This window comes from Homo sapiens, chromosome 5 (assembly GCF_000001405.40).
Source record: "Homo sapiens chromosome 5, GRCh38.p14 Primary Assembly".
Lineage (NCBI taxonomy): Eukaryota > Metazoa > Chordata > Mammalia > Primates > Hominidae > Homo > Homo sapiens.
The window spans coordinates 118,985,160-119,005,130 of record NC_000005.10 but is presented as its reverse complement, the minus strand read 5'-3'; the positions used below and the strand labels follow the sequence as shown (position 1 = coordinate 119,005,130).

The following is a 19,971-nucleotide window of genomic DNA, read 5'->3' as shown; positions in this document are numbered from 1 at the left end:
TAATCTCTCTATGCTTCAGTCTTTTTCTTTGTAGAGGTAAACATAATATTTACCTTATAGAGTTAATCCTAAGATTATGAGATAGTCTTAGGATTACATGTAAAGTGCTTAGTATGGTGCCTGACAAATGGAGAGTTTTCAATAAATGTTCTTCTTGCTAAGACTTACTGAACTATTAATTAAATTATATTTTTCTAGACTAATTAAACAATTATATCTGCCAACGCCTTTGCAGCTATTTAGACATTCTAGTTTTAATCATTTTGCATCATATTTTTCCAGTTCAATTACTTATTGCCTCAGCTCAACATCTTGTAGAATTTAGGACTACAAAAAGAGAGGAAAAACAAAGGAAAGAAGAGTGGTTGTGGTAATGATTACTGCTGTGGTGAAAATGTCCCCCAAATTGGATTGCGGTACATTAAAAAAACAATAACAATATATCTAACAAAAACAAAGAGCCATTAATTTAAAAAATGGAAGACAGAAATGTAAGTTATATTTTTTTATATGATAAAAACCTCATTACTTTAGGTAACTTGCAATGTTTCTCAACTTTGGTGCTCATCTGGATTACCTAAGGAGTGACAAATTCTGCTTCATTAGGTTTGAGGTAGAACCTAGGACTTCATGAACAATTATGAATGCTCTAGAGAAGCCTTCGAACACCTCAAAGATGGAGAACAATCTGTGGAGTAGAAAACTCAGTAGGTTTGAAGTCAGGAGGCTTGAATTTTTTACCTGGTCGTTTTCCTTTGAGCTTTAACTTTTTCATCTGTAGAAGTAAAATCTTAGATTAGGTCAGCGGTTTTCAATTCAAGCTGCAGGACAGATTTCCCAGGAGTACTAATGCCTGCAAGTTTCCCCCTGATACCATGTTCTAATGTAATTGGCCTGGGGGTTCCTCACGTGATTCTAATGTGAGCCAGGCTGGAGGAGTACTGTGCTACGTAATCTTTAAATGCCTTTCTTGCTTGAAAATTAGATGATTCTAGTAATAGAGTTAATTTTTATTTCATTCAAATAGTTAAATTAAATTCCCAGTAATCAGAATTGGGTTTTACAATTTTAATTATTTAACTCCCAGTAGGAATATTTAATTCAAAATATAAAATTGGCTGGGTGTGGTGACTCATGCCTGTAATCCCAGCACTTTGGGAGACCAAGGCAGGCAGATCACTTGAGGTCAGGAGTTCGAGACCAACCTGGCCAACATGATGAAACCTTGTCTCTACTAAAAATACAAAAATTAGCTGGACATGGTGGTGTGCACCTATAGTCCCAGCTACTCAGGAGGCTGAGGCAGGAGAATGGCTTGAACCCAGGGGAAATTGAGCCACTGCACTCCAGCCTGGGTGACAGAGTGAGACTCTGTCTACAAAAAATACACATATATATATATATAAAATATATATTATATATAAATTTATATTATATGTAATTATAAATTTATATTATATATTTTACATATTTTATATATATATATATACACACCCTGTTATAAAACTGATTGGTGAAACAAACAAATCCAAGCAAATAAAGTGCTTTAAAAAAAAATCCCTGTATTCACCAAGATGGAGAAAAAAAAAAGGAAAAAAAAATCCTTTGCTGCAGTCGGTGCCTATAATTCCCACTAATCAGGAGGTAGAAAGATTGCTTGAGGCCAGGAGTTCTAGTTCAGCCTATGCAACATTCCTCTAAAAAGAAATCCTACAGGCAGAAGACTAAGATTATTTTAAGATTATATATTCTATATGTGGATAAGAAGTAATATAGTGGGTCTTCACATGTGAAAAAGAAGAAATAATAAATATCCAATTTAATTAACCTAGAATTTTAAGAAAATATAAAAGCAACACTGCACAGCCAAAAAATATAAAAATTAGAATAGATCCCTGAGGAAAATCAGGCAGAAAAAGACATTTTTATAGATAGCTAGTGTCAGGAAACTTAAAGAAACAAAAAGACAAGCATTATACCAATGGTATAACTAATAAAGAAACGGTTCAGGACATATTGGTGACAATTTGGGTGAAAGGGTGAAAGGCATGAAGCTGTGAAGGAAGGCCCTGCCCTAAGAAAAACTATCTCAACCTGGAGGTTGAGAGAAAGAAGGAGACCTCTCTATCATCAACGAAGTCATTTAAGAATAACTTATATAAAAATAATCATGATAGTTGTACTTGAGGACCTTGCATTAAATATTAGCATCACTGGACTCACTACTAACTCACATTAAAAAATTAGAAATATGGCTGGGTGTGGTGGCTCATGGCTGTAATCCCAGCACTTTGGGAGGCTGAGGCAGGTGGATTACCTGAGGTCAGGAGTTCGAGACCAGCTTGGACAGCATAGTGAAACCCTGTCTCTACTAAACCCTGTCTCTACTAAAAATACAAAAATTAGCCAGCTGTGGTGGCACACGCCTGTAATCCCAGCTACTTGGGAGGCTGAGGGAGGAGAATGGCTTGAATCTGGGAGGCAGAGGTTGCAGTGAGCTGAGATCATGCCACTGCATTTCCAGCCTGGGCAACAGCAGGCTCCGTCTCAAAAAAGAAAAGAAAAAATTAGAAATACATTATTAAGGAAAGGTCAGCAAGTTAACCAAAGAAGGGAATTAATAGAAACTATCTTCCACTTATATAGCTTGGTATTAAACAGACCATTATTAGATGTTGATGTCTAGTTAACGTTCCATATTCTTCTAAAAATAGTATTTACATGGTCATTGTGTAGAATATCTGTAAGATATAAGAAAAACACACCCAGACCTTTAATCTCAGTATCTTGATAGAAATATTGATTTTTTTGGTAAATATATTTCCATTTTTTTCATATGTAGTTTGTATGAATTTGCAAGCAGGAATTCAGGCGAGCAAATTTATGGTGGGCAGAATTTTGACCCCTGTGATCTTTGTCCTCTGGTATAAAGCCTTATGAATATGTTGCTTCACGGCAAAAGGGAATTCAGTTTGATAACCATTTGATTTTAAAATAGGGAGATTATCCTGGATTATCTGGGTAGAAATGGAAGTGGAAAAGGAAGGCAGAGAGTTGGTTAGAAAGATGTAATGGAAAAAGAGGCAGGAGAGATTCAGAACATGAGAAGGACTCAACCTGCCCCTGCTGGCTTCACAGATGGAGGATGGGGGCCATAAGCCAGAGAACATGGGTTACCTCTAGAAGCTGAGACTAGCCTTTAGCTGACAGCAGGAAAATAACCACCACAATGAACTGAATTCTGCCAACACCTAGATAAGCAAGAAAACAGATTATCCTTTAGAACCTCCAAAAGAATCCAGCCTGCCAACATCTAGATTTTAGTCCTGTGGGATCCATGTCAGATTTCTGACATACAGAGCTGTAAGATAAATAATGTATGTTGGTAGGAGGGGTTGGAGAAAAAAAGTATCTGTTAAAAAGCCACTAAATTGACTACTATGCCTATGGAGTAGCCATTCTCTATTCCTTTACTTTCCTAATAAACTTGCTTCCACTTTATGAATTTGCCTCAAACTCTTCTTTGTGTGAGGTCCAAGAACATTCTCTTGGGGTTTGGATCAGGACCCCTTTCTGGTAACATCTTCCTGATGAATCCCAAAGAAGTGATACTGAGGAGACCCCGGACTCAAAGGAAACAGACTGCAGCACTGATTGGCTGACTCTGGGTAAGTGGTGCTGTACCTGGGTAAAGGATGGGATTGGGTTAGAGGCCCAGCTTAGGGGAGTTAGAGTCTCTCCTAAGACAGAGTGGGTTAAAAGCCCCTCTTAATAAAAGGCAAGGATGCTTGACCAAACTTAGGGTCAAGGCTGAACTTAGGAAGGTTAGAGTCCTCCCTAAGATTTAGGGGGTTAGAGACCACCCTCTCAGTAAAGTCCCTTTTGGTTAAAAATAGATTTGTTATTATGGGAAGTTAACCACTATTCTCTTTGGATTAATCTGCCTTGCATTCTTTGCTGAAGGCTATGGGTGACAGGGTTAGTCATGTACAGGACCGTGGGGCATGGGGAGCTTTTTCATCCCCAAAGGGGGAAACTTTAGAGCTGACGGAGCTGCTGGAAAAGATCCCTCCCCAACTGACAAGTGGCTGCCTGAACTTTTGATTCAGTGTCACTGCATTGGGTGGGTCTTTCTCTGGCCTCCCTGAGCACCTTGCCTTCCCCACCCTGCCTCAGGCAATGCTTTTCTCCCTTTCCTTTCCCTTTCTTATCTTTTCTATTACTCAGGACAAACATCTTGCCCAGAGACCACACACTGAAAAATGTCCTTGTAATCATGTGGCAGTACTTTTGCTTGCTCTCCCCTTTCCAGGGAAAAGGAATTTTAGGGTTCATGTCATAGTCAGCTCTAAAAATTGTCTTGAGCAGTTAAAACCCATTGCAAAGCACAAAATTGGATGCTTTAGGCTCCTTCTGGGAAAAAGCATCAGAAACTGCCCAATGCTGTAGCTTAGTGGCTAAGGCTTTATCTTTTCTTAATGGTGGCCCAGGTTCAGGGTTCAATTCCTTGCTTAGTGAATGAGTCCTTTCTGGTTTGTCTGTGTGACCTTCACTATTTGTTGATTCTCTTCCCCTCCACTAACTGTCTTGAATTTTCCTTTCTCTGAGCACAAAAATATTGGCTGTTTGGCCTGGCTAAAGTCATGTAATAAGAGACTTAAAAAGATTTTTTAAAGAGTACTATGGTTAAAAGTCAGCTTTTTAAAAGTGGATATTCAAGTTTTATGGGACTCCCTGGGAAAAACAGAGGAGGCACCACAGACCCTGTTTTGGGAAAAACCTCTGTTTTCCTCATGAAACCCCTGGAATTGAAAGCAGATAAATCCTTCTCAAAATCTAAAGCTCTGTTGTATTTTGCATTGCCTTATCTAATGGTTTTGACTTTTGGGGTTAGCAGAAATTACTTCACACTATGAGAGAGCTTTGGTTGTAATAACTAGATAGGAAATGTACTTCTGGGGCTGGCTAATGGAAGTTATGGGGAGATAGCTCTTTGCATGTTTGGATTAGAGAAGCATGCCTTTGGCTACCTAAAAGAAATGAAAATGTCCCTACCCGCTACTGAGAGGTAAGACTCTCATGAAAGATGGGCTAATTACAGAATGGGCTGATTGGCTTTGTATTGCTTTGCAATCAAATGCATGGCAAAATCACTGCATTGTCTTATTCCATAGCACTTCTCTTTCTTTGGGATCCAGGATCTGGTAAAAAATGAGACCCTTAATTTTGAGGGATGTTTTGCCTTTCAGCTGTGCCTGCTTATTAGGCCATAGGAACTTCATGCTTTCCTGGCCCTGTTCCTCCAAGGGCTCCACCCTGGAGTCAGTAATTAAAAAAACTGGCAAATGAAAAATCTTAAAATTACTGGATCTTCTTCTGTCTATATTTATATGTGATGTGTGTATGATTTTTATTTTATTTTATTTTTTTTAGTATTTATTGATCATTCTTGGGTGTTTCTGGGAGAGGGGGATTTGGCAGGGTCATAGGACAATAGTGGAGGGAAGGTCAACAGATAAACATGTGAACAAAGGTCTCTGGTTTTCCTAGGCAGAGGGCCCTGCTGCCTTCCTCAGTGTTTGTGTCCCTGGGTACTTGAGATTAGGGAGTGGTGATGACCCTTAACGAGTAGGCTGCCTTCAAGCATCTGTTTAACAAAGCACATCTTGCACCGCCCTTAATCCATTTAACCCTTAGTGGACACAGCACATGTTTCAGAGAGCTGGGGGTAAGGTTATAGATTAACAGCATCCCAAGGCAGAAGAATTTTTCTTAGTACAGAACAAAATGGAGTCTCCTATGTCTACTTCTTTCTACACAGACACAGTAACAATCTGATCTCTCTTTCTTTTCCCCACATTTCCCCCTTTTCTATTCGACAAAACCGCCATTGTCATCATGGCCCGTTCTCAATGAGCTGTTGGGTACACCTCCCAGATGGGGCGGCTGCTGGGCGGAGGGGCTCCTCACTTCCCAGACGGGGTGGCTGCCGGGTGGAGGGGCTCCTCACTTCTCAGACGGGGCGGCTGGTCAGAGACGCTCCTCACCTCCCAGATGGGGTGGCGGCGGGGCAGAGACACTCCTCAGTTCCCAGACAGGGTTGCGGCCGGGCAGAGACGCTCCTCACTTCCTAGACGGGATGACGGCCGGGAAGAGGCGCTCCTCACATCACAGATGATGGGCGGCCAGGCAGAGATGCTCCTCACTTCCTAGACGGGGTGGCGGCCGGGCAGAGGCTGCAATCTCGGCACTTTGGGAGGCCAAGGCAGGCGGCTGGGAGGTGGAGGTTGTAGCGAGCCGAGATCACGCCACTGCACTCCAGTCTGGGCAACATTGAGCACTGAGTGAGCGAGACTCCATCTGCAATCCCGGCACCTCGGGAGGCCGAGGCTGGCAGATCACTCGCAGTCAGGAGCTGGAGACCAGCCTGGCCAACACGGCGAAACCCCGCCTCCACCAAAAAATACGAAAACCAGTCAGGCGTGGCGGCGCGTGCCTGCAATCCCAGGCACTCGGCAGGCTGAGGCAGGAGAATCAGCCAGGGAGGTTGCAGTGAGTCGAGATGGCGGCAGTACAGTCCAGCCTCGGCTCGGCATCAGAGGGAGACCGTGCGGAGAGGGAGGCGGAGGGGGAGGGGGAGGGGGAAAGGGAAAGGGAGAGGGAGAGGGAGATTGTATGATTTTTATTTACTTAGTTTTTCTCCCCGAGATGGAGTCTTGCTGTCACCCATGCTGGAGTGCAGTGGCATGATCTTGGCTTACTGCAACCTCCACCTCCTGGGTTCAAGCAATTCTCCTGCCTCAGCCTCCTGAGTAGCTGGGATTACAAGCACCCGCCATCATACCTGGCTAATATTTGTATCTTTAGTAGAGATGGGGTTTCACCATGTTGGCCAGGCTGGTCTCGAACTCCTGACCTCATGATCCACCTGCCTCGGCCTCCCAAAGTGCTGAGATTACAGGCGTGAGCCACCGCGCCTGGCCGTGTGTGTGATGTTTACATAAGAAAGAGCTTTATTTGTTTTAAAAATAATAAACGCTTAACTCAAATATTTTGTCAGAAAAGTAAAAACTTTAATGCCTTTTAGTTCACATGACTTTAGTAATCTTGGAAATAAAAACAGCTTTACATGCAAGATGTGTAAGGAAAGCGAAATGTGTTTTTTGTAAAAGATTATAAGATGTCATGAGAATGTAGATTTTTTTGTGTGCCTAAACGGTTAAAGGATTGTTTTAAGTTAAGTAGAATAAAGCTGAAGGTTTGAGTAAGTTGTGGAAGATTTGTGAAAAATTAATCTTGTAAAAGAAATTCTATGTGTGAACATATTGGCTAAAGTTAAAAGGGTATTCATTGGAATACCCTTTGGAATATTGGAATAAAGGCATAACAGGTTTTTCTTACAGCACTAATCTGTTCTTTAACAAAAATTTGTAAAGATTTGTAAAAGGTTTATGAGAATCTTACCTTATGATCAGACATAAAAATTGGATAGATTTGTCTATAAAGTTTTATTAAAAATTGGGGTTGACATTAATAGTACACTAACGCAAAGGGTAAAATTTGGTTTTCTCTCTTGAACAAGATTTTCATGTACTATCAAAAAAAAAGAAAGATTTTTGTTTGCCTTTTAAATAAACTATAGGAAAAAGAAAGAAAAGAAAAAAAAAGACACAGATTGTTTAGAAAGCTAAGTCTTCCCTCTTAATGAATAAAGGTTTTTGCCTCTAAAAATATTTTTAAGTCATCATTTTGCCTGAATGAATAACTTATGGTGGCCTGGGATTCTATTTTATGTTATCGTGTTTTAAACCTTTGATGTCTGACAAACTTTCCAAAATCATACTCTAAATTACGTTTTTCTCTGACCTAATTAATCTTTTAGATATTAGGTCCCCTAAAGTTCAAAAGAGACATATTTGGCTTATTTGGTACAAAAATCATGTAGAGCCGGGCATGGTGGCTTACACTGGTAATCCCAGCACTTTGGGGAGCTGAGGCAGATGGATCACCTGGGATCAGCAGTTTGAGATCAGCCTGGCCAACATGGTGAAACCTTGTCTCTACTAAAAACACAAAAATTAGCTGGGCGTGGTGGTATGTGCCTGTAATACCAGCTACTTGGGAGGCTGAGGCAGGAGAATCACTTGAACCCAGGAGGCAGAGGTTGCAGTGAGCTGAGATTGCACCACTGCACTCCAGCCTGGGTGACAGAGTGAGACTCTGACTCAAAAATAGAAATAAAAATAAAAATCATACAGGAAGTGTAGTCAAATATAAAATGGTATTTGGCTTTCTTTGGGCTGTATTTGTATAAATGTAATTGGTGTGTATTCCAAAATCATGTAAACTCATAATTCTAATATGACTTAGTTTTGTTATTAATAGTTATAATTGTTATGTAAAATTGTTGTATGCCAAAGAAGTAACCAAATTTTCTTGTCAATTGTGGCTCTTAATAGTGGCTGACCTAAGACTGTCATCCACAGACAATTGTCTAATTTTGATCCTCTTCAAAAGGTGGTTTATAATCAGCTATAGGACTTTGACAGGTGCTCTTAAGTGCACATTTCTAATAACTTTGGAGATTGTAACATTACAGTAGACGAAAAAAGTTTCAGGACTCGCATGGAGAGCTGAATGTTCATGAATATCAAGCACAACAGGAGTTAATTACATAGACTGAATTAATAGAAGACTGAAGTAATCTTTTTGACTTTTTTGTTTAAAACATTGCTGATCCTTTGTTTTGTGTTTCAGAGCCAAGAAAACTTTCAAGTTACTTACAGCTTTTATCAATTGAGTAAAGTCTATTCCTGTGAACAAAATTTGGAGCATATTTATTTCTCTCTACCTGATTTCTCCAGAATTGGAAATTATTTGTGAGCATTCTCAATTTATGGCAATATAGTTATTTGCATAAGTGCAATAAGTATCTGTTTTCTTTTGTAACGGGACACAATTGGAGACACTGGTTATTTTACCAAGGTTTTGACTGGAATAGCATGCTTTCTTTTAAGGAATCAAATTTGACTTATAAATCCAATAAAAACCCCTTGGGAAACTGGCCTCACCTCATACCCTGTCTACATAGTCCCTGTATAGAGTTCCAGACCTGTGGTAAGTAAAGAATGTCAGTTTTTGACAGGCCCAGAAGCCCCAAATTATCTTGGGATCTCAAGAGAAGAGGAACTTACCCAACTCATAGGTATTTGACAGTACAACCCCATAGCTGGGCTGGGCTTTTAAAAAAGTCTTATCTAAGATTCCTTTGATGGAACAAAAGTTCCATCAAAGCTAATTAAAATAAGCCTATGCGGCAAATAATTATTCCTGCTGCACTTTATACAAATAATCAGGCTAAGTATAATAAGGCAAATTGGTTTTACCATGATTTGTATTTAGTAAAAATGGGAGATTGAAGAGAGAAAAACTATGTTTCAAGAACTATGGTACAGTTATTATTAGATTGTAACCTCATCAGTTGTTTTTGAGGATGTTTTCCCTGCAATTTAGACTGAACACTCATTCCTGTGAACCAGTCAGTGATCTCTGCCTGCTGCTCAAACAAAACAAGGGGGATGGATAATGTAAAAATATAGATCAATATTGTAATTCTGGGCATATATTGGAATCAGGTAGTGACACCATATCAGCTTGGTTTCAAATTGCCCAGTTCATGGAAAGCTTTCTTAACTAGTTTACTTGGGATAGTTTTGTTTTACTGTTGCGGAATATGTTGCTGCTGTACTCTCCGTGTAAGAATTCAGGGTAAGTTTACTCAATGTTATCTTAAATTGGACACCTATTAATCTTCCAGATATCACCTTTTGCAGAGTTATGGATGGCCCTCACCATACTGATGCTTTCTGACTAAGCTCCTCTCTACCCCAAATACAAGAGACCCTAGTAGTTAGGCAGGAATATCATCACCCCTATTCAGCCTGAAGAAGCTACAGAAGATGGATCTTTGTCCCTCTAAAACCCTTAGCATTAAGGGTTCTCGTATGAAAGGAAGGTGGGAAATATGTCAGAGGCGTTTGAACCAGAGCAATTCCATCTTGAATAGGAGCTGGGTAAAATAAGGCTGAGACTTACTGAGCTGAATTCCCAGGAGGTTAGGCATTCTAAGTCACAGGATGAGACAGGAAGTCAGCACAAGGTACAGGTCATAAAGATGTGATAAAGAAGCTGGCCAATCGCATCAAAACCAATATGGCCAAGAAAGTGACCTCTGGTCGTCCTCAGCACTCATTATATGCTAATTATAATGCATTAGTATGCTAAAAGACACTCCCATCAGCACCATGACAGTTTGCAAATGCCAAGGCAACATCAGGAAGTAATCCTGTGTGGTCTGAGAAGGGGAGGAGCCCTCAGTTCTGGAAATTGCCCACCCCTTTCCTGGAAAACTCATAAATAATCCACCCCTTGTTTAACATATAATCAAGAAATAACTATAAATATTATTGGTGCACTAAACCAGGAAGAAGCTGAATCCCTGAATAGACAAATTAACAGGCTCTGAAACTGAGGCAATAATTAATAGCCTACCAACCAAAAAAAGTCCAGGAACAGATGGATTTGCAGCCAAAGTCTACCAGAGGTACAAGGAGGAGCTGGTACCATTCCTTCTGAAACGATTCCAATTGATAGAAAAAGAGGGAATCCTCCCTAACTCATTTTATGAGGCCAGCATCATCCTGATACCAAAGCCTGGCAGAGACACAACAAAAAAAGAGAATTTTAGACCAATATCCCTGATGAACATTGATGCAAAAATCCTCAATAAAATACTGGCAAACTGAATCCAGCAGCACATCAAAAAGCTTATCCACCATGATCAAGTGGGCTTCATCCCTGGGATGCAAGGCTTGTTCAACATACGAAAATCAATAAATGTAATCCATCATATAAACAGAACCAAAGACAAAAACCACATGATTATCTCAATAGATGCAGAAAAGGCCTTTGACAAAATTCAACAGCTCTTCATGCTAAAAACTCTCAATAAACTAGGTATTGATGGGACGTATCTCAAAATAATAAGAGGTATTTATGACAAACCCACAGCCAATATCATACTGAATGGGCAAAAACTAGAAGCATTCCCTTTGAAAAACTGGCACAAGACAGGGATGCCCTCTCTCACCACTCCTATTCAACATAGTGTTGGAAGTTCTGGCCAGGGCAATTAGGCAGGAGAAAGAAATAAAGGGTATTGAATTAGGAAAAGAGGAAGTCAAATTGTCCCTGTTTGCAGATGACATGATTGTATATTTAGAAAACCCCATCATCTCAGCCCAAAATCTCCTTAAGCTGATAAGCAACTTCAGCAAAGTCTCAGGATACAAAATCAATGTGCAAAAATCACAAGCGTTCCTATACATCAATAACAGACAAACAGAGAGCCAAATCATGAGTGAACTCCCATTCACAATTGCTTCAAAGAGAATAAAATACCTAGAAATCCAACTTACAAGGGATGTGAAGGACCTCTTCAAGGAGAACTACAAACCACTGCTCAATGAAATAAAAGAGGACAAAAACAAATGGAAGAACATTCCATGTTCATGGATAGGAAGAATCAATATCGTGAAAATGGCCATACTGCCCAAGGTAATTTACAGATTCAATGCCATCCCCATCAAGCTACAAATGACTTTCTTCACAGAATTGGAAAAAACTACTTTAAAGTTCATATGGAACCAAAAAAGAGCCCACATTGCCAAGACAATCCTAAGCAAAAAGAACAAAGCTGGAGGCATCATGCTACCTGAGTTCAAACTATATTACAAAGCTACAGTAACCAAAACAGCATGGTACTGGTACCAAAACAGAGATATAGACCAATGGAACAGAACAGAGTCCTCAGAAATAATACCACACATCTACAACCATCTGACCTTTGACAAACCTGACAAAAACAAGCAATGGGGAAAGGATTCCCTATTTAATAAATGGTGCTGGGAAAACTGGCTAGCCATATGTAGAAAGCTGAAACTGGATCTCTTCCTTACACCTTATACAAAAATTAATTCAAGATGGATTAAAGACTTAAACGTTAGACCTAAAACCATAAAAACCCTAGAAGAAAACCTAGGCAATACCATTCAGGACATAGGCATGGGCAAGGACTTCATGTCTAAAACACCAAAAGCAATGGCAACAAAAGCCAAAATTGATAAATGGGATCTAATTAAACTAAAGAGCTTCTGCACAGCAAAAGGAACTACCAGCAGAGTGAACAGGCAACCTACAGAATGGGAGAAAATTTCTGCAATCTACCCATCTGATAAAGGGCTAGTATCCAGAATCTACAAAGAGCTTAAACAAATTTACAAGAAAAAAATCAAACAACCCCATCAAAAAGTGGGCAAAGGATATGAACAGACACTTCTCAAAAGAAGACATTTATGCAGCCAAAAAACACATGAAAAAATGCTCATCATCACTGGCCATCAGAGAAATGGAAATCAAAACCACAATGAGATACCATCTCACATCAGTTAGAATAGCAATCATTAAAAAGTCAGGAAACAACTGGTGCTGGAGAGGATGTGGAGAAACAGGAACACTTTTACACTGTTGGTGGGACTGTAAACTAGTTCAACCACTGTGGAAGACAGTGTGGCTATTCCTCAAGGATCTAGAACTAGAAATACCATTTCACCCAGCCATCCCATTACTGGGTATATACCCAGAGGATTATAAATCATGCTGCTATAAAGACACATGCACACATATGTTTATTGCGGCACTATTCACATTAGCAAAGACTTGGAACCAACCCAAATGCCCATCAATGATAGACTGGATTAAGAAAATGTGGCACATATACACCATGGAATACTATGCAGCCATAAAAAAGGATGAGTTCATATCCTTTGTAGGGACATGGGTGAAGCTGGAAACCATCATTCTCAACAAACTATCGCAAGGACAGAAAACCAAACACTGCATGTTCTCACTCACAGGTGGGAATTGAACAATGAGAACACTTGGACACAGGAAGGGGAACATCACACACCAGGGCCTGTTGTGGGGTGAGGGGAGCGGGGAGGGATAGCATTAGGAGATAGACCTAATGTAAATGACGAGTTGATGGGTGCAGCACACCAACATGGCACATGTATACATATGTAACAAACCTGCATGTCGTGCACATGTACCCTAGAACTTAAAGTATAATAATAATTAAAAAAAAAAAAAGTATCCTTGATGAAGTAGCCTAAGCTGCTGCTCTGCCTGTGGAGTAGCCATTTGTTATTCTTTTGCTTGCCTAATAAACTTGGTTTTCACTTAAAAGAAAAATAAGTGGCCAGGCGCGGTGGCTCAGTCCTGTAATCCCAGCACTTTGGGAGGCCGAGGCGGGTGGATCACCTGAGGTCCGGAGTTCAAGACCAGCCTGATCAACACAGTAAAACCCTGTCTCTACTAAAAATACAGAACTGGGCCGGGCGCGGTGGCTCACGCCTGTAATCCCAGCACTTTGGGAGGCCGAGGCGGGTGGATCATGAGGTCAGGAGATCGAGACCATCCTGGCTAACAAGGTGAAACCCCGTCTCTACTAAAAATACAAAAAATTAGCCGGGCGCGGTGGCGGGCGCCTGTAGTCCCAGCTACTCGGGAGGCTGAGGCAGGAGAATGGCGTGAACCCGGGAAGCGGAGCTTGCAGTGAGCCGAGATTGCGCCACTGCAGTCCGCAGTCCGACCTGGGCAACAGAGCGAGACTCCGTCTCAAAAAAAAAAAAAAAAAAAAAAAAAAAAGAACTGGCCTGACATGGTGGCACGCAGCCTGTAGTCCCAGCTACTCGGGAGGCTGAGGCAGAATTGCTTGAACCCGGGAGGCGGAGGTCGCAGTGAGCCCAGATCACGCCACTACTCTCCAGCCTGGGCGGCAGAGCGAGACTCCATCTCAAAAAAAAAAAAAAAAACAAAGGAAAAAGCCACTAAATTTGTGGTTATTAGTTCCACAGTGATAGAAAATGAATATAGCAAAAAATACCATGTTTTTATTTCATTTAAATCAAATCTTATACAATGCTGAATCCTCATACTGCAGGCCTGGCAGGATATTCAATCCCTTACATTACTGAGGCCCTTTCCTCTACCAGTAACAGGATCTCCTTTTCCCACAACACCAGGCGTGGACCTAAGATTGTCCTCAGTCTTTACTACCCAAACTCCTCTGAGGCAAAGGAGCATAAAAGTCTGGTTTTCTACCTGAAGTTGGGAGATAAACAAAACATACATTAACACCTCAATACATTATCTTGACACTAGTAAGTTGTCTGTATCCCATAAAGGATATTTTACTTCCCTTTCTGGTGTCTTGGCACTTCCCAGAAGCTGAGTCACTGATGGTCTGATACCTGGGTCTGCCCCAAGGTGGTAACCTCACCTGCATGTTTCCTCAGGCGTCTGAAGGTCATTGTTCACAAACCTGGATATTGGGTGAATTTCTTGCTTCCTATAGAGGAAAATGGCTCTCCTTTCTCAACTCTGTGTCTTGCCTGGATGGAAGCTTTCTTTGATTTTGGTCAGCCTCTGAGACAATGGACTTGTAGGGGATTTTCTTCATAAGGAGCGGAGATGGAGCAGGAGACCACTTAGGTCTTTGGCAATATTCTATGCAAGAGATGACGGGGGCTTGAACCAGGGCAGAAGTAGTAGGTGAGATAAATGTTTGGATTTTGAATACTTTGAAGGGTAAAGCCAATAATCTGATATGGGGTGTTAAAAGGAAGCCCCAAGTAAGTAGGCTCACATCAACCTAAAAGGAAGGAGCAGAGGCAAAATTAATATAGAGAGTTTATTTGGGCCAACGTTGAGGACTGTAGCCTAGGTCGTACTTCCAGGTTGCTGTGGAGAGTGCTCTGGAGAACAAAATGGGCTGGAGTTTTTAAAGAAAAGAGAACGAATCAGCAGAGGGGGGCATTACAAAAGCTATGTCTCAGGAAGTGTCATTTATTTACAGAAATAACATTGGTTAGTGATTGGCTATACATATTGTTGAACTATAGGGTATACGGCGTTTTATGGCTACTCGGTGTCAGTCTAGGGCCTGCATAGCAAGTGCCTTCAAGAGGTAATTATTTAGCTCAAGGGAGAGTGAGACATGACTGCTCGCATTCCTTAGATAAAAAGTTTTTTTTTTTTTCCTTATCATCTGTCTTCTCACACCACACAATTGGGAGTCTCAAGGGACCTTAGAGGACTTGAGCACATTTCACCTCTTGAAATTAAAGATGAGCAGCTTCCTTTCGTTTAAAGATAAGTCACATGAGAATTTAATTTTGGCAGTTAAAGAATTGGTTCCCCAACCTAAATCTACAGACAAGATGAATTTTCTGATTCATCTCCTTTCCTACAGTTTCTGGATTTTGTTTATCCTCCGATTCCAAATGGCATAATTGCTAGTTCTTTCTCCCACTCTACGTCCATCACCAGGTGGGTGTTTCAGCCTTTTTCTATCCCTCACATAGGACGCTCCAAAGGAAAAGAGAGGTGCTGTTTCCGGGGGGAAAGAACGTAGGATAGTTGAAAACAGCACGGTATTTTATTCACAAACTTGATTTTAAGATGACTGAAAAATCTAATGTGAAATAAACATTTTAAGAAATACAGTATTTGCTCTATTACTGTGTTGTCTACTTTGCCTCACATTTAATCTATTACAACTATAGAGTTAAGACAACTGTGATTCCTAAGCTTAATTCACATGATTGATCAAAACCAAGCTTAATTCTGTTTTAATGTTGTGTATTGCTGGAAGTAACACAAAGCATTAATAAACAAAAGGAATTCGATACCCATTTTGGGTAAATAGTATTTCTGCCTTCATTCTAACATAGATTTCATTTTGGCTTTTAAAAAACAGCTGCTGTGCTATATACCGCCGTATCCAGTAGTTGTTAAATACCTGGGCAACGTTACCTTTCTAGGGCTTGTTTCCTCATACATAAAACCTATTGGTACCCCGGGCCAGCTCTCCTATTGCTTCCTGATCGGGGACGATCTAAAAATCTAATTTAACAAATATCTGGTGTCCAGTGTAAAATAGCATGCTTGATGTCTTATTAGCACAAGACATAGAAGAGCAGGAAATTCACATAAGGAAACGGACCAGCTGTGAGTAGTTCCCAGTGGATATAACCTCTCCTTTGTTGGCCTTTAAATAATAAGTGCATCAGCTGCCGCACCTGCGATGCATGCACGCGTGGAAATCCTGCAAATTCTTAAACTGCCATCCCAAGGCGGAAAATGCAGAATTCCATTTTATTTTAACTTTTAAAGGAGTTAAATTCGGGCTTGGTACTGGGGTCCTCTCGGGGAGGTTTCCCTTACCTCTCCCAATGACGCTACTTAACCTCACCAGCACTCCAACACTGCCCACACTTGCCTACCCAGTTCTAGGTGAACGGTCCCACTGGGCACGGACCAATGGGCTCGTTCCTTCCCAGCGGCAGGGTGGGACCTCCAGCCTGGGCTTCGGAGACCCGCCCCCCGTACGTGGCGTGCGGGCATTGCGCTACGCGGCGCGGGCCGGTTTCTACAGCGCGTGGCGCCCCCCGGCGGCAGCCGGGCTTCAATGCCACGGCCTGACCGGAGTGTCCGCCATGGAGTCGCAGAAAGAGGCACGAACACTCCAGGAGCCCGTTGCGCGGCCTTCTGGGGCCTCAAGCTCTCAGACGCCGAACGACAAGGAGCGGCGGGAGGGCGGCGCAGTGCCGGCGGCGGCTGCCCTGGGCGCAGAGGCGGACGACGACAGTGCGGACGGGCTGTGGGAGCTGCCGGTGGAGCCGGCCGAGCGGAGGCCTGAGTGCACCCGCTGCAGGTGACCGCGGGGCTGGGGGCGGGGACTGCAGCCGGCAGCGGCCTTCGGAGGAGGGTGCGGCGCCCCCTGCCGGGGAGTCGGCGGCTCGGGCAGCTCTGCGATTAGGGCGGCGGAGTTGGCGGGTGCACGTTGGAAATCTCGGAAATGCCAGGCACAGCTACCTAGTAAGAAGCCCTTTTTCCAGGTTCATGATTATCTAACCTTACTTCCTGCAATATGCTGAGCGTATCATGGGATGAGCAGACATCAGTTCTGTTTCCAAGAAACTTAAGCGTCCAATAGGGGAAGTAAGGGGTGATGACAGTAATACTTGTAAAATAGTTACACAGTCATATTTAAGTGGCATAGTTATATCACAGTTAAAAAGCATAAAGTGGATTGGAGGAGAGAGACAGTCTCCTTTACCTATCCTACCAGAACTCTAAATATAGGGCCTTTTCAGGTGTTCATTCTAGGTTCTCTTCAAACCCTACATACGTCCCACTGGTAATTTATAAAATCAGTTTTCATGGTAAATTATCATCTATATCCCAGTGTGTCTAGCTCAGACCTTTCTTCGGAACACCAGACCTGTGCATTAATTTATCAGGTGTTTATTGAGTGCTTTGGTAATCACTGACAATGCAGTGGAGTTCATGTTTTTGTAGAGTATTCTCTTACTGGATACGGATAATAAACCAGCAAACAAGCAATCAAATATGTAATTACAAACTGGGAAAAAAGCAGTGAAGGAAAGGAATGGGTTGCTACTGTAGAAAATAGCTCAATGGTGTCATGAACTATCTCTGAGATTTGAAAGATGAGAAGAATCCAGCCAGGGGAAAAGCATTCCAAGAAGGGGAACAGAAGGACTGAATATGGTTGAAGATCTTTACTGCTTGAATACTTGGAGTATCACACTTTGGACATTTTGACCTTTTCCTAGGGCTGGATTGTAAGACTTCAGAGGAAAGGATCTTGAATGTAGAATGTTTTTATATTTTCTAAATGTACTATGTATAGTTGACGCTCAGTAAACCTCTGAGGAGGATGGAAAATTTGTGATTAGAAGGGACTGTGAATTTGAACATAGGGGTTTGTGAATACAATTAATTTAAACAAGTCGTCTGAGGGGGTTGGGGAAGCATTTAAAAATGTTTGGAGGGGTCTCAATAGGATACTGGAGGAAAAGTGTTTCAAATATAAATCAAAGGCTAAATTACTGTGCTAGTTTTATTTAGTTTTTAGTCTGTTCAGAATTGTTAATTATAAATATATAGGTAAAAATCTGTTTAGCAGAGATTTATTTTATGATGCTTTTTTAAAAAAATGGCTTGCTGAATTTAATCTTTTTTTCAGTTACGTTTAGTTAATACCTTAGGATTACAATTTTCCCCAACATTTCTGCACTTTGCTTATTTCTGGTGAAATTTGCTACCTGTGAAAAGCTCTCCTCCCTCTTGCTATGCATTTTATTTGCTTTAATTAGGTAGACTATAATTCTACACTTTGCTTATTTCTTGTGAAATTTGCTACCTGTGAAAAGCTCTCCTCCCTCTTGCTATGCATTTTATTTGCTTTAACTAGGTAGAATATAATTCTAGAATTATGGAGAATATTTAGGTGTTGTCAATAAAATATAAATGAATTGATGGCTTTTTATATTTTATTTCATTATGCTATTAGAGTTCTACTAGTACCCTGGGTGAACTTCTTTACATTTATGGTTAAAATAGTTTTAAAAATGCATTCTTAGATTTGATTGATCATTGAGTCACAGTTATTTGGCTATTTACTTAAACTGTATTCATTTCTCTGAACACATTACTACAAATGTCACAGCCTAGGGGAGTTCCAGAAATTAGCTTTGTTCAGGAAGTGCAAACTCAGTTTAACTTTTCAGCAGAATCTTGCTCATTATAAATATAACATATCTTAAATATGAATGGAATATTCTTTAAAAGATCCCAAACTTGTAATTTATTATTGCAAGATATAGATTCTATAAATGTATTCTGTCCTTTATGTATGTCTTGTTTACAAAACCTGCCTGTATTCCATTTACCTCTTAGAATACCTTTCCTATCCCCCATTCCCAAACGTATATAATTTTTTTTTTCAGATAAAGACAAAACCTTGGCTGATCTCCCCAGAGTATGTATCATTAGCATTATTTGAGATAACATAAGAAGGCTGAGGGTCATGGGACATGGTAGGTGCACAAAAGATTTGTTGAACTACTTGGTAAAATTCAGTTGTTCAACAAATATTTTTGGAGACCCTTCTTCCAGACGGTGTGATAGGCTATGAAATACAAAGATGAAAAAGAGATGACTTCAGTTCTCCTGAATATCAGGATCTAGTGGAAAGTGGCATATCTATTTAAATGGGGAGCCCTCAGATTAAAAATCCTATGATGTAGGGCAGTTTTTTCAAATTATAGGTAATGAACCGCATCAAATTTTTGAAGCTCTGAAGAAAACAGCAAAAAGTGTTTTCTGAACTTTTCAAAGTAAAAGTATTTGTAAAATAACTTTGTTCAAGTTAAAATCATCTTGCTAATTTAAACATTCTTATTTAAATTATATGACATCAGAGTGGAAAGATTTAAACACTTTTTATATGTGTTTGATATCCTTTGGCAGTCTTCGAAATTAGGCCGTCGTGGAGTAAGAGTCAGAAGGCAAAAGGATGCATGTTCACCAAGTAGTGCTTCTGAGATTTTACTAGAGTCTTTAATTTTGTTAGGAAATAAAGTGTAATATACGTGTGTATATGTATGTATATATGTGTGTGTATATATATATATATATATATATATATAAAAATGCACATAAGCATGTGGTCTTTTTCTTGTTGAATTCTATACTATCAGCTTCTTTCTTAGATGGGTATATGTAAGGTGTTATAGGAACATATAAAAAGGTGCTCCTAACCCTAAGTTTGTATGGTGGAGATGAGGAAAAGATCTGGGAAATCTTGGAAGTGACATGTAAGCTGAGACTGAAGGACATAACGAAATATTTAATCTGGATTCTAATATTTAGGATTAATTAGGGAAGAGACTGGCTGAGGAGAGGGCTTGAGGGAGGAAAAAGTGAGCTCTGGTTGAGGAAACAGTATGTACGAGAGTTTAGTGTATAGAATATATAGTG

General features: G+C 40.6%; 1 protein-coding gene and 1 long non-coding RNA gene across 5 annotated transcripts in view, besides 1 other annotated feature; both read left to right on the top strand.

Annotated features, from left to right (window-relative positions):
• Nucleotides 1–8,819, top strand: part of DMXL1-DT (DMXL1 divergent transcript) — a 74,579-nt gene extending 65,760 nt beyond the window's left edge. The window contains exons 7-9 of the long non-coding RNA NR_134249.1: nt 283–491; nt 3,533–3,668; nt 8,758–8,819. This is a non-coding gene — a long non-coding RNA (DMXL1 divergent transcript). The remainder of the gene's footprint in view (nt 1–282; nt 492–3,532; nt 3,669–8,757) is intronic.
• DTWD2 (DTW motif tRNA-uridine aminocarboxypropyltransferase 2) overlaps nt 16,584–19,971 on the top strand; it is a 152,474-nt gene continuing 149,086 nt past the window's right edge. For 2 of the 4 annotated variants that reach the window (NM_173666.4, XM_011543338.4), the window contains exon 1: nt 16,584–16,837. In NM_173666.4, the coding sequence (NP_775937.1) occupies nt 16,620–16,837 (218 nt within the window). In that variant the 5' untranslated portion in view covers nt 16,584–16,619. Of the gene's footprint in view, nt 16,838–16,910; nt 17,002–19,971 lie in introns of those variants that run through there. The other 2 variants (NM_001308081.2, XM_011543340.3) reach the window with 1 other exon arrangement.
• Nucleotides 16,671–17,000: a silencer, noted in NCBI's record as "silent region_16260". NCBI's record gives its function as "represses an Ori minimal core promoter by ATAC-STARR-seq in GM12878 lymphoblastoid cells {active_cell/tissue: GM12878}" and the evidence as "EXISTENCE:reporter gene assay evidence [ECO:0000049][PMID:35858748]".